Source organism: Homo sapiens, chromosome 4 (assembly GCF_000001405.40).
Source record: "Homo sapiens chromosome 4, GRCh38.p14 Primary Assembly".
In the NCBI taxonomy this organism is placed as follows: Eukaryota; Metazoa; Chordata; class Mammalia; order Primates; family Hominidae; genus Homo; species Homo sapiens.
The window spans coordinates 102,686,435-102,704,073 of record NC_000004.12 but is presented as its reverse complement, the minus strand read 5'-3'; the positions used below and the strand labels follow the sequence as shown (position 1 = coordinate 102,704,073).

The window sequence follows — 17,639 nt, the reverse complement described above, 5'->3', positions numbered from 1 at the left end:
ACCCAGGCTGGAGTGCAGTGGCGCGATCTTGGCTCACTGCAACCTCCACCTCCCAGGTTCAAGTGATTCTCCTGCCTTAGCCTCCCGAGTAGCTGGTACTACAGGTGTTCGACACCACGCCTGGCTTATTTTTTGTATTTTTGGTAGAGATGGGGTTTCACTGTGTTAGTGGGGATGGTCTTGATCTCCTGACCTTGTGATCCACCCGCCTCAGCCTCCCAGAGTGCTGGGATTACAGGCGTGAGCCACCATGCTGGGTGGGATCAGAGTTTTTAAAGATAATCTGGTGGGTAGGGGCTTGCAAAGTGGGGAGTGCTGATTGATCAGGTTGGAGATGGAATCATAGGGGGAACGAAGTAAGGTTTTCTTGCTGTCTTCTTTCCTGAGTGGGATGGCAGAACTGGTTGAGCCAGATTACCAGTCTGGGTGGTGTCAGCTGATCCATCCAGTGCAGGGTCTGCAGAATATCTCAAGCACTGATCTAGGTTTTACAATAGTGATGTTATCCCCAGGAGCAATTTGGGGAGGTTCAGACTCTTGGAGCCAGAGGTTGCATGACCCCTAAACTGTAATTTCTAATCTTGTAGCTAATTTGTTAGTCCTGCAAAGGCAGACTCGTCCCCAGGCAAGAAGGGGTCTTTTCGGGAAAGGGCTGCTATCCATTTTGTTTCAGAGTCAAACCATGAACTGAATTCCTTCCCAAAGTTAGTTCAGCCTACTGCCAGGAATGAATAAGAACAGCTTAAATGTTACAAGCAAGATGGAGTAGATTAGGTCTGATTTCTTTCATTGTCATAATTTCCTCAGTTATAACTTTGCAAAGGCAGTTTCAGGAGGATTACTTGAGCCTGGGAGGTCAAGGCTGCAGCGAGCTATGATTATTCCACTGTATTCTGGCCTGGGTGACAAAGCAAGACCCTGTCTCAAAAACAAACAAACAAGTAAACAAACAACAACTAATGCAAACAGTAGCTATCTCTGTAGTAGTGTTAAAAATGGTTTGCATTTTATTCTTCTGTGTAACTGTCTTTTCTAAATTTCTATATTGGGCATCTGTTATATATATGTATATGCAGTAAGTGGATAAAGTAGTTATTAAAACAAACTAATTTAGTCTAGTAACTTCAGCTAACTTGATATGAAAGCCTAAACTAATTTGTCTATGGGACACTTTCTGCCTTCCCCCTGTTGAGGCTAGAAAGAGATACTGTCATCTTTGTGCTTTTTCAAGTGTTCAATTTATATCTTGACTTAAAATTAGTGAGTTTACTCCTGAAGATCAAAGGACCAACCATAGTTCCCTAACTTGTGTATGACAGAAAGAAGGCTATTAAACATTTAAAAATTAACGTGAAATTCTTGTGAATTCATTTACTTATATATATGTATATATCTATGTTTCTTTTCTGTATTCTTAGTCCTTAAAAATAGTGGTTTCTACAGGGTCTGGAGTGGACCTCTAGCAAACTCCAACAGACCTGCAGCTGAGGGTCCTGTCTGTTAGAAGGAAAACTAACAAACAGAAAGGACATCCACACCAAAAACCCATCTGTACATCACCATCATCAAAGACCAAAAGTAGATAAAACCGCAAAGATTGGGAAAAAACAGAGCAGAAAAACTGGAAACTCTAAAAAGCAGAGCACCTCTCCTCCTCCAAAGGAACGCAGCTCCTCACCAGTAATGGAACAAAGCTGGACGGAGAATGACTTTGACAAGTTGAGAGAAGAAGGCTTCAGGCGATCAAACTACGAGCTACAGGAGGAAATTCAAACCAAAGGCAAAGAAGTTAAAAACTTTGAAAAGAATTTAGACGAATGTATAACTAGAATAACCAATACAGAGAAGTGCTTAAAGGAGCTGATGGAGCTGAAAACCAAGGCTCGAGAACTACGTGAAGAATGCAGAAGCCTCAGGAGCCGATGCGATCAACTGGAAGAAAGGGTATCAGTGATGGAAGATGAAATGAATGAAATGAAGCGAGAAGGGAAGTTTAGAGAAAAAAGAATAAAAAGAAACGAACAAAGCCTCCAAGAAATATGGGACTATGTGAAAAGACCAAATCTACGTCTGACTGGTGTACCTGAAAGTGACGGGGAGAATGGAACCAAGTTGGAAAACACTCTGCAGGATATTATCCAGGAGAACTTTGCCAATCTAGCAAGGCAGGCCAACATTCAGATTCAGGAAATACAGAGAACGCCACAAAGATACTCCTCGAGAAGAGCAACTCCAAGACACATAATTGTCAGATTCACCAAAGTTGAAATGAAGGAAAAAATGTTAAGGGCAGCCAGAGAGAAAGGTCAGGTTACCCACAAAGGGAAGCCCATCAGACTAACAGCGGATCTCTCAGCAGAAACTCTACAAGCCAGAAGAGAGTGGGGGCCAATATTCAACATTCTTAAAGAAAAGAATTTTCAACCCAGAATTTCATATCCAGCCAAACTAAGCTTCATAAGTGTAGGAGAAATAAAATCCTTTACAGACAAGCAAATGCTGAGAGATTTTGTCACCACCAGGCCTGCCCTAAAAGAGCTCCTGAAGGAAGCACTCAACATGGAAAGGAACAACCGGTACCAGCTGCTACAAAATCATGCCAAAATGTAAAGACCATGGAGACTAGGAAGAAACTGCATCAACTAACGAGCAAAATAACCAGCTAACATCATAATGACAGGATCAGATTCACACATAACAATATTAACTTTAAATGTAAATGGACTAAATGCTCCAATTAAAAGACACAGACTGGCAAATTGGATAAAGAGTCAAGACCCATCAGTGTGCTGTATTCAGGAAACCCATCTCCCATGCAGAGACACACATAGGCTCAAAATAAAAGGATGGAGGAAGATCTACCAAGCAAATGGAAAACAAAAAAAGGCAGGGGTTGCAATCCTAGTCTCTGATAAAACAGACTTTAAACCAACAAAGATCAAAAGAGACAAAGAAGGCCATTACATAATGGTAAAGGGATAAATTCCACAAGAAGAGCTAACTATCCTAAATATATATGCACCCAATACAGGAGCACCCAGATTCATAAAGCAAGTCCTGAGTGACCTACAAAGAGACTTAGACTCCCACACATTAATAATGGGAGACTTTAACACCCCACTGTCAACATTAGACAGATCAACGAGACAGAAAGTTAACAAGGATACCCAGGAATTGAACTCAGCTCTGCACCAAGCGGACCTAATAGACATCTACAGAACTCTCTACCCTATATCAACAGAATATACATTTTTTTCAGCACCACATCACACCTATTCCAAAATTGACCACATAGTTGGAAGTAAAGCACTCCTCAGCAAATGTAGAAGAACATAAATTATAACAAACTATCTCTCAGACCACAGCGCAATCAAACTAGAACTCAGAATTAAGAAACTCACTCAAAACCGCTCAACTACATGGAAACTGAACAACCTGCTCCAGAATGACTACTGGGTACATAACGAAATGAAGGCAGAAATAAAGATGTTTTTTGAAACCAACGAGAACAAAGACACAACATACCAGAATCTCTGGGACACATTCAAAGCAGTGTGTAGAGGGAAATTTATAGCACTAAATGCCCACAAGAGAAAGCAGGAAAGATCCAAAATTGACACCCTAACATCACAATTAAAAGAATTAGAAAAGCAAGAGCAAACACATTCGAAAGCTAGCAGAAGGCAAGAAATAACTAAAATCAGAGCAGAACTGAAGGAAATAGAGACACAAAAAACCCTTCAAAAAATTAATGAATCCAGGAGCTGGTTTTTTGAAAGGATCAACAAAATTGATAGACCGTTAGCAAGACTAATAAAGAAAAAAAGAGAGAAGAATCAAATAGATGCAATAAAAAATGATAAAGGGGATATCACCACCGATCCCACAGAAATACAAACTACCATCAGAGAATACTACAAACACCTCTACGCAAATAAACTAGAAAATCTAGAAGAAATGGATAAATTCCTCGACACATACACTCTCCCAAGACTAAACCAGGAAGAAGTTGAATCTCTGAATAGACCAATAACAGGATCTGAAATTGTGGCAATAATCAATAGCTTACCAACCAAAAAGAGTCCAGGACCAGATGGATTTACAGCTGAATTCTACCAGAGGTACAAGGAGGAACTGGTACCATTCCTTCTGAAACTATTCCAATCAATAGAAAAAGAGGGAATCCTCCCTAACTCATTTTATGAGGCCAGCATCATCCTGATACCAAAGCTGGGCAGAGACACAACCAAAAAAGAGAATTTTAGACCCATATCCTTCATGAACATTGATGCAAAAATCCTCAATAAAATACTGGCAAACCGGATCCAGCAGCACATCAAAAAGCTTATCCACCATGATCAAGTGGGCTTCATCCCTGGGATGCAAGGCTGGTTCAATATATGCAAATCAATCAATGTAATACATCATATAAACAGAACCAAAGACAAAAACCACATGATTATCTCTATAGATGCAGAAAAGGCCTTTGACAAAATTCAACAACCCTTCATGCTAAAAACTCTCAATAAATTAGGTATTGATGGGACGTATCTCAAAATAATAAGAGCTATCTATGACAAACCCACAGCCAATATCATACTGAATGGGCAAAAACTGGAAGCATTCCCTTTGAAAACTGGCACAAGACAGGGATGCCATCTCTCACCATTCCTATTCAACATAGTGTTGGAAGTTCTGGCCAGGGCAATTAGGCAGGAGAAGGAAATAAAGGGTATTCAATTAGGAAAAGAGGAAGTCAAATTGTCCCTGTTTGCAGACGACATGATTGTATATCTAGAAAACCCCATTGTCTCAGCCCAAAATCTCCTTAAGCTGATAAGCAACGTCAGCAAAGTCTCAGGATACAAAATCAATGTATATAAATCACAAGCATTCTTATACACCAATAACAGACAAACAGAGGGCCAAATCATGAGTGAACTCCCATTCACAATTGCTTCAAAGAGAATAAAATACCTAGGAATCCACCTTACAAGGGACGTGAAGGACCTCTTCAAGGAGAACTACAAACCACTGCTCAATGAAATAAAAGAGGATACAAACAAATGGAAGAACATTCCATACTCATGGGTAGGAAGAATCAATATTGTGAAAATGGCCATACTGCCCAAGGTAATTTATAGATTCAATGCCATCCCCATCAAGCTACCAATGACTTTCCTCACAGAATTGGAAAAAACTACTTTAAAGTTCATATGGAACCAAAAAAGAGCCCACATCGCCAAGTCAATCCTAAGCCAAAAGAACAAAGCTGGAGGCATCACACTACCTGACTTCAAACTATACTACAAGGCTACAGTAACCAAAACAGCATGGTACTGGTACCAAAACAGAGATATAGATCAAGGGAACAGAATAGAGCCCTCAGAAATAACGCTGTATATCTACAACTATCTGATCTTTGACAAACCTGAGAAAAACAAGCAATGGGGAAAGGATTCCCTATTCAATAAATGGTGCTGGGAAAACTGGCTAGCCATATGTAGAAAGCTGAAACTGGATCCCTTCCTTACACCTTATACAAAAATCAATTCAAGATGGATTAAAGACTTAAACGTTAGACCTAAAACCATAAAAACCCTAGAAGAAAACCTAGGCATTACCATTCAGGACATAGGCATGGGCAAGGACTTCATGTCTAAAACACCAAAAGCAATGGCAACAAAAGCCAAAATTGACAAATGGGATCTAATTAAACTAAAGAGCTTCTGCACAGCAAAAGAAACTACCATCAGAGTGAACAGGCAACCCACAAAATGGGAGAAAATTTTCACAACCTACTCGTCTGACAAAGGGCTAATATCCAGAATCTACAATGAACTCAAACAAATTTACAAGAAAAAGACAAACAACCCCATCAAAAAGTGGGCAAAGGACATGAACAGACACTTCTCAAAAGAAGTCATTTATGCAGCCAAAAAACATGAAAAAATGCTCATCATCACTGGCCATCAGAGAAATGCAAATCAAAACCACAATGAGATACCATCTCACACCAGTTAGAATGGCAATCATTAAAAAGTCAGGAAACAACAGGTGCTGGAGAGGTTGTGGAGAAATAGGAACACTTTTACACTGTTGGTGGGACTGTAAACTAGTTCAACCATTGTGGAAGTCAGTGTGGCGATTCCTCAGGGATCTAGAACTAGAAATACCATTTGACCCAGCCATCCCATTACAGGGTATATATCCAAAGGACTATAAATCATGCTGCTCTAAAGACACATGCACAGGTATGTTTATTGTGGCACTATTCACAATAGCAAAGACTTGGAACCAACCCAAATGTCCAACAATGATAGACTGGATTAAGAAAATGTGGCACATATACACCATGGAATACTATGCAGCCATAAAAAATGATGAGTTCATGTCCTTTGTAGGGACATGGATGAAATTGGAAATCATCATTCTCAGTAAACTATCGCAAGAACAAAAAACCAAACACCGCATATTCTCACTCATAGGTGGGAATTGAACAATGAGAACACATGGACACAGGAAGGGGAACATCACACTCTGGGGACTGTTGTGGGGTGGGGGGAGGGGGGAGGGATAGCATTGGGAGATATACCTAATGATAGATGACAAGTTTAGTGGGTGCAGCGCACCAGCATGGCACATGTATACATATGTAACTAACCTGCACATTGTGCACATGTACCCTAAAACTTAAAGTATAATAATAATAAAAAAATAAAATAAAATAAAGATTTGTCAGTCTTGCTTATTTGATAAGCATGCATTTTTTAATGCATTCATTTGGAATCAATTTTTCATTCATCTTTAAATTATTTTTTCCATAAAATAATCCTTGAAAATAACTTTATGGGTATTTTGCTTGAAATACCCATAGAGAGGGTAGGTTGCTTGAATAATTTTTCCTGTGATTAGTCTCCTCATTGCTTGAGTAAATTTTCTTCTTTGGAGCTTACTAACTTATCCTTGTTCTAGGAAACATTTTGCCTTGCGTCTCTTTTGCCTTGATTTCAGTTTCAAGGATTTTGTACTGCTGAGTAGGTAAGGAGATCTTGCTGCTTGGTGAAGAAGAGGGAAAACAGCTGTTTTAACTAACTGTGGGCCAACATTTTTGGCTAACGCAATGGTTAGCTCTTTGAAAAGCAGCTGCTTAAGTCTGTCCCATGATTCTGGCAGGAGTACCGGAAAATATCTAATGTTTGAATTTATAAATTCCATGGCTTGTTCATTTCATTTGGTGTCATTGCTGTTTCTTTAAATGCACATAACTACCTTTCCCTGCAGCTTTTCATACTCTATTAAAGATGGAGGAAGAAGAGAGCCTGCAAAAGGGGGAGCTGTGAGGAGCTCAGCAGGGCAAAGCTAATCCAGGCAGCTATCTTTGAATAGGTTTTCCCCCCAGTGAGATGAAGCATCTTTTTCATCTACCAGTGTTTGCAGATTCATCCCTTGCTGACTTGAATGTGCCCTGCCTCTGAACTTTCACTGCCCTGCTAGTCCTTATGGTTCCTGATGCCATCCTGTATTCTTAACTGCGACACTTGGGTATATTTTATCTTTCTAAATATGTTCAGAGAGTTAGAGACAACATATTTGCCTTTTTGGATTGGGATATAATTTATAATGCCTGTCAAGGTTTTACAGACAGTAGTTATTCAAGAAATAGATTTCATTTGCTTGACACAAATGCTCACATAACTATTTTAGTGCCTTTTCAGCTAGTTTAGGTTACAAAGACAGTATTTTGATAAGTACAGGAACTGTGGCATCATATAAATACACGTTTAGCAGAGGGTCAGACATATTCTCTATGTTTGTAGATTTCAGTGTCCTTTCTTTTTTTACTTTGAGACAAAGTCTCATGCTGTTGCACAGGCTGGAGTGTAGTGGAGCAATCTCAGCTCACATTAGCCTTGACCTCCTGGGCTCAAGCGATCCTCTCATCTCAGCCACTGAAGTAGCTGGGACCACAGGCGTGCCACCACACCCAGCTAATTTTAAAATTATTTTTAGAGATGGGGTCTCATTATGTAGCCCAGGCTGGTCTCAAACACCTGGGCTCAAGAGATCCTCCTGCCTCAGCCTACCAAAGTGCTGGGACTATAGGCACGAGCCACTACACCCTGCCCATTTCAGTATTCTTTTTTTACAGAGACCCTCTTAGGCTAACATTTTATTATTACAGTGCCCCCAGAATGCTTTGTTTTACATTGAATATATTCGACATTTGGCTTTAGGACTCTGAAAGGCAAAAAGTACCTTTGCTTTTGCTTTTCCTCATTATTCATATACAAATGTCAATCGTTGTGTACCTGTGAGTGTCATTCCTTTTGGTAGGCATCGCTGCGAGAGGCTCATGGAAAGTCGAGAGCACCAGAGTTAGGAAACCTGGACCCTTGGCCTGTCCACTGGCTCAAGAGGGAAGTGCTGCAGTCAGGGCCTCAGAAACATCTGCAAAGTGATGAGAACATCTCCAAGTTTCTTCTACCTCGAACATTTTGTGGTTCTTTTCCTTTGTTTGTAAGTTAGAATAGTCATTACCACCCAATGAGGGTATAAGTATGGAACAACCCAGTTTTTCTTGAAACTAGACATCACATGACTAGATGAAAACATTGATACTTGAGTCTTTATTACAATCAATTAAAGCAAGGTTCAGTGTATAGTTTGGGAGTATGTCTTCCTGTTACTTTTTGACAAACTTGAAGTAATGTAACTGAGTCCTCTTATTTTTCTACTTTCTATATCTCTCCTTATACCTTTTTCTCCTAGACAATTGAATAAAGCTTTTTTTCTTTTTTTTTGGCTTTTTGTCCCCCCTCCAACTACATCTTAATAAAGGAGTAGACTGTATGAGAATATAAGAGGAAGCTGGCGTATTTGAGAAGATTTTGAAGGCTGATGTACTGGACACATCTACATGAGCTAGAGTTGTCTTGTGATACTCTGAACGAAGGAGCAGTATACATTAATCTAGGCTATGTAGCTGTTTACCTTTCTACAAATTCCCATCCAGGTCAGACACATTGTGCTCTTTGTTTTTTTCTTTTTTTAAAGAACACTCACTGAGTCATCTCTGGGAAAACCTTAAAGCGAATTAGTGGCCAGAACCACATTCTCTACCATCCTCTGGGTTGCCTTCCTGATTGAGGTTATATGAACAAACTGTAGAACATAATCTCTTCTGCTTGGGCTTAGGACATCAGCGAGGACACCAATAAGCCTTCAGGCCAGGGAGGGCCTCAAGGCCTTGAATTGTGGAGAGGGCAGGCCAGCATTGCCTTTGCACCTGTTTTGATAAAGAATTCCTGTCCTCTTTGTGCTGAGTTGTTTAGTCAAAGTGAAGAGAGGATGCAGAACTTGGTGGTGTGATTGGAAGGATGAGCTCTGTAGGGGATTCTAGAAGATGTAGCAATCCTTCTTTCCTGCCCTCACCCCCAGTACTTCATCCATTTTTGAAGTGATCTTGCATTTTACTTCAGGAGAGCTGGTGATGATAAGTGTTCTTCAAGACATGGTGACTTATTAATGCTAGGAGAGAGATGATAGGAAGCTGTATTCTAGAAATGGGGCTTAATTTATAAGATGGAGTTCTTCTTAACTACAAATAGGATTATGCAATTTATAAATTTAATTTAGCAAGTGAAAAGGAGTGACCAAAGAACATCAGGAAAACTACTGGTTATTTAAGACTTTGCGCCTTGTGAACCTAAATTACCTACTTTTCCATGTGCTACTGGAAGGAAGGGGTTTACTCTATTTGAAAGAAGAGGAGAGGGGAAAAATATGTTATTAAGTATATCTGGTGATAACTTTGTAGGCTTGTAGATCTTCATACTGTGTTTTTAATTCTACAACCTTAGTTTTTTCATTTAGTAGTTCCCAGGGGTGTTAACGGGTGATGCTCTGGAGGAGTGCGGACTTGCTCGAGAACCTTCCAAGTTCAAAGCAAGAGAAACTGGGGAATTTTGCCGATGACCTTTGAGGATTGCATTATTTGTTTTCCTGTCAGAGGCTGTCACTAACAGCTGATTCTCCTACTAAAGAAGAAGTAACAGAAAACAACACAGGAGCCTGCTTCGTTGGTAGGAGGTGCTCAAAGGACAGAGCTAAAATCTTTAGTTGGATATTAAGGAGAAGTATATTTCAAATTCAGTGTAAAGGGAGTCTTTACAATAGCCAAGCCTGGCAAAAATGGGAAGGCTATTTTGTGAGGCAGAGGTTTTTTTGTCATTAGAGATATTTAAAGAAAGGTTGGAATGGCCTTTTTTGGGGGTAATATTCTAGGGCAGGGATTAGCAAACTTTTTCTCTTAAGGATCACATAGTAAAATAGTTTAGGCATCTGTCACAACTACTCAACTCTACTGTTGTATTGCAAAGGTAACCAAAGACAATAAGTAAACAAATGAGCATGACTATTAAGTTAGTCTGCTCTGGCTGCCCTAAGAAAATACCATAGGCAGAGTGGCTTAAATAACAGAAGTTTATTTCTCGTAGTTCTGGCAGCTGGGAAGTCCGAGATAAAGGTGTTGGCCCATTTGGTTTCCAGTGAGGGCTCGTTTCCTGGCTTGCAGACAGATGCCTTCTTGCTATGTCCTCACATAGTAGAGAGAGAGACGGATATCTGTTTCTTCCTCTTCTTATAAGGCTGCAATCCTAACAGATTACTGCCCCACCCTTATTACTTCATAAAAAGCTGGAGGTTAGGGCTTCAACATAAGAATTTTAGGGGAAGAGTCCACCATTTAGTCCATAACATCTGTGTTCCAATAAAAGTTTATTTATAAAAACAAGAGGTGGGCTAGATTTGTCCCAAAGACCATAGTTTGACAACCTATTGAATAGAGGAAATTAAACACTGGTGAGCGAGCAGACTAGGTGATCTACCAGCTGATAGATTCAAAACCTGGAGGCTATCGGTAAGTAACCTGCAAAATTAACTGGATCAGAACAAACCTAACTCAGAGCTCATCGACTAGTATTTCTCAGAATAAATCACTTAATAAACAAAAATAGTTCTTAAGTCCAGGATTAATTTTACTTCAATGTGCATCAAATCTATGCTTTTGGCTGATGGGAGATGCGAATGATAAACTGTGCTGGGGTCATCTTTAGAACAGGCCTGGTGTGCTCCTACAGTTGTAAACAGTGCCGGTTATAACGTCTTTTGTCATTGATCAGCATAGAAACCTAGCTTTTTTTTTTTTCTTTTGCAGCAAAGCCATGATTATTAATCTCTTCTTTATTTGTAGGAGAAAGGTCTCTAAGATACTTCTCAGCTAGTAGCCTTCCCCCTCCCCTTCCTTTGGAGAAAAATAGAAGCCACTAAATAGGAACTCCCTCCATACTTTGCCACGAATCATAGAAACTTAAATGCCTCTGCACAGTCACTGCTCTTCTCCTTTCTTTCTGTGGCAGCAAAGAATGAGAACTTTTTTTGCTGACTCTAACCCCCTGTACCTCCAAGCTTTTTTGAGATCTCATGACCAGTTTCTTCTGCGTAACTTTAAAAAACGGTCTGTTTTTCCACCCAGCTCTTGTCCCAAGTCTGTCCCAGTGCTCTATCTTGTTTAAAAATAAAAACTAAACACAAAACCAAACCCGGAGACATTATACAAACAATATAAATTTGACAGGAAATGGAGGACAGAGTCATACTGCGCGTATATAAAACTCTACTTCAAAACCTCTTCGAAACATTCTGACAACCCCAAACTCTGCACCCAAAGTTCATCCCTCATCTTTCTTCTTTCCCTATAATTCTCCTCTTCGGTCTTGTTTTCTCTTCTTTCTGATCAACACTCTTCTTTGCCTCCTCTCTGTTCCTGGCTTTTCCAAGTGGCATTTTCTGGGGCTTTTTGTACACAGAGAGATTTTATATCTTTCTGCTTCTTTCATATTCATCCTTGTATATCACTGTGCTGGGACCTTTAGCAATTCTTATAAAATGCAGATCTGGTCATGCTCTTTGATGAAAAATCTTCAATGACTCCGCATTGATCTGGGGTGAAATTGCCAGACTCCTTACCTGTTCGAAAAGACCCAGTGTCATTTGGACCGTGCTCAACTTTTCAATTATGCTGACCCCCTCATCAATTTTGTTATTGCCCAAGTTCCTTGTTTTCCTTGTTATGGCATTGCTGTCTCACTCATGGGCCTTCACATGCTTCTCTGTGCCCAGAATCCTTATCATCTTCCTCTGTACTTAGCTGAGGCATCCTTCTGGTCTCAGCTAGATACCACTTTCTAATGAAAGCATTCCTTGGCCAGGCATGGTGGCTCATGCCTATAATCCCAGTGCTTTGGGAGGTAGAGGCTGGAGGATTGCTTGAGGCCAGGAGTTCAAGACTAACCTGGACAACAAAGTGAGACCTCATCTTTACAAAAAGTAAAAAGAAAATTAGCTAGGTGAGTGGCACATGCCTATAGTGCCAGCTGCTCAGAAGGCTGAGGCAGGAGGATTGCTTGAGCCCAGGAGTTCAAAGCTACAGTGAGCTATGATTGTGTGACTCCCGGGGCAACAGAGTGAGAACCTGTGTCAAAAAAAAAAAAAAAAAGGAAAAAGAAAAGAGAGAAAGCCTTCCTTCACCCTCTCTGTATTAGCTGTGCTTTCTGATGTCCTGTTTTTATTTCTCAGGACAACCTTTTATTTCTCCTGTCCTGATATTATTATGCTTTTGAATTTGTCTATAGACTTTTAGTTCATGAGAGTAGGGGCCATGTTTATCCTGGTCACCATTTAATTCCCATCACTTAGCAGAGTATATGGCACATAGAAAGTCCTCAGGAAATATTTATTGGATAAATTATCTACATTTAAAGTATAACTTTATTTTTTCACATTTGATTAATTTTAATACATATAAATTTATACCTTATTACATAACTTTAAAACCCATTTACATTATAAAGTAAAATACTATTACTTTTTACTTTATAAAGTATTTTTACTTAATTAAAAAGGAACAAATGTGTATTATTCTTGGAAAATTTATTTTATCTTTCCATTTGTCATTTTCTGTTTATGCTCCATAAAGTTTTTATGACTTACAATCATAACATTTTTAGAGTGGAAGTCTATGTAAAATATACCATTTTTGTTATTCTTCTTCAGAATGAAGGATTAAACTGAAGATTAAAAGAAAATTTCCACGAAGTTTTGATTATGACAGCATTGTGGAGCACATACTGGGTTTGAAGCTGCTTTAGTCTTACCTTCAATGAATCCTGAGAAATGCAGTGATAATGCTTAGCATATTATATATATATATATATATTTCTTTTTCTTTTTATATTTTAGATAAGAGTGCCCAGGAGTGGAATCTGGAAATAGAGTCTACATTTGATGTTGTCAGCTCAAAGCCAGTTGGTGGTCAAGTGATCGTAGCCATCCCTAAGTTGCAAACACAACAGACATACAGCATTGAACTTCAACCTGGGAAAAGGATTGTTGAGCTATTTGTGAACATTAGCAAGGTAAATGATGGTACTTCCTGAGAAGCACTGGATGAAAAGCAATACCTGTGCTAAAGAAATGATTAGAAAGGAGGGACTAAGTATGAAAGAAAATTCTACTTTCTCTGCTTATATTTGTCATTTTCTTCTCTATTTTAGTCTCTCATATATTTTCTGTGAGTATGAGCTAAAGAATGATTTTCCCAAACTTTAAGATTAAGAAAATAGAGAATATATTATTAATTTGGCAATTCTTTCTCTCATTTTATTTTTATCATTGTATTTTAATTTTCTGTAGTATTTGTAGTATCCTAAAGCCAAAATACATTCTATGGATTATATTTAAATAGCAGTGGTTATTTTTGATACTTGTCAATTATTTTGATTATTGATACTTATTCTACATGCACAATTTTAATTCTAAACTCATGATCTTTCATATATCAAGGTAGAACGGATTATTTTTATCTTTTCTTTTTCTTTTTTCTATTCCTCTAATTGATAATTGTGTACTGAAAAAGGTGGAGCAAAATAACATTCAGTAGCTGTTGAGATAAAGTAAGAACTCAAAATGATTTTTAGTTTTTGGCTTGAAAGAAGAGTCAACTTCAGAGTCCCATTTTAAGTGTTAAGAATGTGGAATAAATGTAAGCTCGGTGTTAGGGATAGGGAGAGTTGTTTTTCTGAACACTCATGTTATTCTGTTCTTTCCTTTTGCTTTTGATGTATTGATCCATGCTAGATTCCCAGCATGCTGATTTTTAAATATTATCAATGAATTGGTCTGATTGGGCATAATATAGGTGGGGAGACTTACATTGTTTTAGAACCTAGAGTTTTGTACTTGACTATTTGAGAAATTGATGTAATGCTTTGAGCCTTTTTTGCTGAAAATATGACATATTAGAGTGACTTTTAAATTTTCTTAAAAGAATATTACTGTAGAAACTTGGTGGCCTCATGGACATGGAAACCAGACTGGGTACAACATGACTGTTCTTTTTGAACTGGATGGAGGCTTAAATATTGAAAAATCAGCTAAGGTAAGTAAGTAATTTAAAATATTTTGTGAAATAATTTTATTTCTTTTAAAAATAGTAATACAGATCTTCATGGGAAAAGAAGAAACCGTCAAAACTCTTGTGTCCCCACCCATCAGAGATCATCTTTAGTAACAGCATTCAAAAGCTTCTCTCTCTGTGTGTGTATATATACATACATATATATACACACACACATATATATATATATATATATTTTTTTTTTTTGAGACAGAGTCTTGCTCTGTCACTCAGGCTGGAGTGCAATGGTGCAATCTTGGCTCACTGCAACCTCCACCTCCTGGGTTCAAGCAATTCTCCTGCCTCAGCCTCCCAAGTAGATGGGATTACAGGCACCCGCCACCACGCCCAGCTAACTTTTGTATTTTTAGTAGAGATGGGGTTTCACCATGTTGACCAGGCAGGTCTTGAATTCCTGATATCAAGTGATCTACTGCCTTGGCCTCCCAGAGTGCTGGGATTACGGGCGTGAGCCACTGCGCCCGGCCTTATATTTTTAAATGGATCATACTTTAGATATTATTTTGTCAATAAGTAGTCTCCTGCTATGATTTAAAATTGTACCTTATATCAAAATAATACATGTGTAATTTTAAAACTCAAATATTACTAGTAAGTTTATATGAAAAATAAGACCTCTTGCCCATCACTTCCTATTCTTACTTCCTACTCCCCAGAACCAACCATTTTTAACTTTTATTTATTTCCTCTGACATTCTTCTTCATTTTTCTGAATAAGGTGCTTCTACTGGTGTTTTCTGATTTTTCAGTTTTACCCATTTTAGGATATAGCACTAGGAATTGGAAAGAACTGCACTTTGTTATTTATTAGCTATAGGCTACTTACTTAATCTCAAAATATGTAAAATAGGGACAATAAGAACGAGATGGCTTGGATCTGGCTTATAAGAGTCATGGCATATAGTTAGTAGAAATGGTATTAACCCTCTTCAAAGATCTCCTCCTCTCCCAGACACCAGCTTCGGTGTTTACAGTTGGCTGGTGTCACCTCTTACATTTGGTATTTCCTCTCCTGTGGGCCAGACAACATGCTAAGGATGGAGATATGTCCTTCAGGAGTGCATTTTCTGTTTTTCTTTTGTTCAATCATGCTGTGTATTTTCTGAGACACTGTGAATGTGTGTGTGTGTGTGTGTGTGTGTGTGTGTAAGGGGGGAGGGGAGAGAGAGAAAGAGTGTGTATGTGTGTGTGAGAGGGGAAGAGAGTGTATGTGTGTTTGTGTGTGTGTGTGTGTGTGTGCGCGCGCACGCACACATGCACAGAGTTATGTACAGGGAGAACATCCTGGACCCGTCTTAAGGGCCAAAGCATTCACTCTTGTCGTACCCCTCTTGGCTGAGAGGATGTGTGCTGTCTCACACAGTGAGTTTGTTGTGTGTTGTTTTCATGAAAATGTAAAAAATAATGAGTCATTCCAACTTACTACAGAGAAAGAAGAGGAACTTCTGTCTTTTTCTAAGGGAAATAATTCTTTTACATTCAGGCTAATATGACTGTATTATTGTTCATTACACATAAAGATGCCAGCCTTTGAATCGAGCAGCAACAGGAGTTTGCTTTAAGGAGGATGTTTAACTGCCCCACACCTTGAGTTAATGCATGTGTGTGAAATGTGCTCTTTGGCTGTGGCTGCCGTAGAGTTGCTATTTTTTGAGGCTGATTCATTCAGTAAATACTTAGGGCACACCTACTGTGTTTTGGCTATTTTGCTAGGTGCTGGTGATAGAGCTGTGACTAAGACACTGTTTCTGTTTCTCTCTGAGACCTTAGTAGAACTAATGATCTGATTGGGAAGTTCAATCATTAAATGAGCCATTGGAATATATTAGCACTCTAGAGATGTAGAGAGTGCCATGGAAGTGCAGAGCAGGGGCATTCTGGGAAGATTCCCAGAGCCTGTGTCCTGAGGGATAAGTAGAATTTGGCCAAGTAATGTAGCAAAGAGGCGGAGGGAAAAGAACGTGAAGGCCCAAGGACTAGAAAGGATGTTGTGTGTTTGCAGAAGTGAAAGAAATTTCAATGCAGTTGTGGTTGAGTTTGAAGTTGAAGAACAAGAGATGGTGTTGTAAAAGTAGCTAGGACAAAGTCCTGCAGGGCCTAGTGAGCCACGTGAAGGAAGAAGCACTGTCCTGAGTGCTGCCAGGATTCTTGGAAGGATTTTAAGGAGGGGGTAAGGATTATATGCATATTTTACAAAGATTGTGTAGATCAGATTGGAAGGATGGCAAGAGTAGGGGACCAGTTAGAAGACTGTGGTGGTGATTCAGACAAAAAATGAGGATTGGTTGGTCTACAGAACTGCTGAGGAAATAAATCTGAAAGAGATTTAGGATATAACCTCAGCAGGCTTGATGATGTGGGGGTGGGAAAAAAGAAGGAGTTAGGAATGGTTCCTCAGCTGCTGGTTTGGGCTGCTGAACAGGCAGCCTCTGAACAGGCAGGGCAACTCTGTTCATTGAGTTACATTACTCAGAAAGAAGAGAAGGTTTGGGGGAAGGGGTTGGGTGGAAATTATTTCAGTGTTAGATGTGTTTTGTGTGGGGTGATTGAGAGACACCCAAGGAATAATATTTGATAGGTGTTTCATTAGATAGATCTTAAGCTTAGGGATTGCATGTGGGTTAAGGATATAGATGTGTAAGTTAGCAGAATGTAGATAATTGTAGCCATGGTAGCGGATGAAATACCTCAGGGATGGCACAGAGAAAAGAGCTAGGACAGAACCCCAGGCAGTCATAATTAGTAAGGTTGGGGTTTGGGGAGAAGCCAGTAGAAGAATCTAAGAAGGAATGGTTGACGAGGTGGAGGGAAAACCAATTTGAGTGGGGAGTCACAGAAACCAGAGGGAAAGAGTGTTTTAAGAAGCAAAGAATGTTCAGAGTGTTGAATGCTGCAAGGGAGTTCAAGTTAGAAAAGAATTGAGAAAGATTCTTTAGATTTGGTGGCAAGGAGATTACTGGTCACCTTGATCAGCATGGAAATCAAATTGTAGTGGGTTGAGGAATGACTCAAGGTATGGAAGTAAAGACGGTGAATATAGGCAACTCTTCTGAAAGCGTCTGATTGGAAACTATGCTTAGACCAGGTGGTAATGGTGGCC

General features: G+C 39.2%; 1 protein-coding gene across 4 annotated transcripts in view, besides 1 other annotated feature; it reads left to right on the top strand.

Moving 5' to 3' along the window:
* MANBA (mannosidase beta) overlaps positions 1–17,639 on the top strand; it is a 130,199-nt gene that overhangs the window by 56,895 nt on the left and 55,665 nt on the right. For all 4 annotated transcript variants that reach the window (NM_005908.4, XM_047415692.1, XM_047415693.1 and 1 more), the window contains 2 exons: positions 13,303–13,478; positions 14,390–14,500. In NM_005908.4, the coding sequence (NP_005899.3) occupies positions 13,303–13,478; positions 14,390–14,500 (287 nt within the window). The remainder of the gene's footprint in view (positions 1–13,302; positions 13,479–14,389; positions 14,501–17,639) is intronic.
* Positions 16,315–16,364: an enhancer, noted in NCBI's record as "active region_21755". NCBI's record gives its function as "activates an Ori minimal core promoter by ATAC-STARR-seq in GM12878 lymphoblastoid cells {active_cell/tissue: GM12878}" and the evidence as "EXISTENCE:reporter gene assay evidence [ECO:0000049][PMID:35858748]".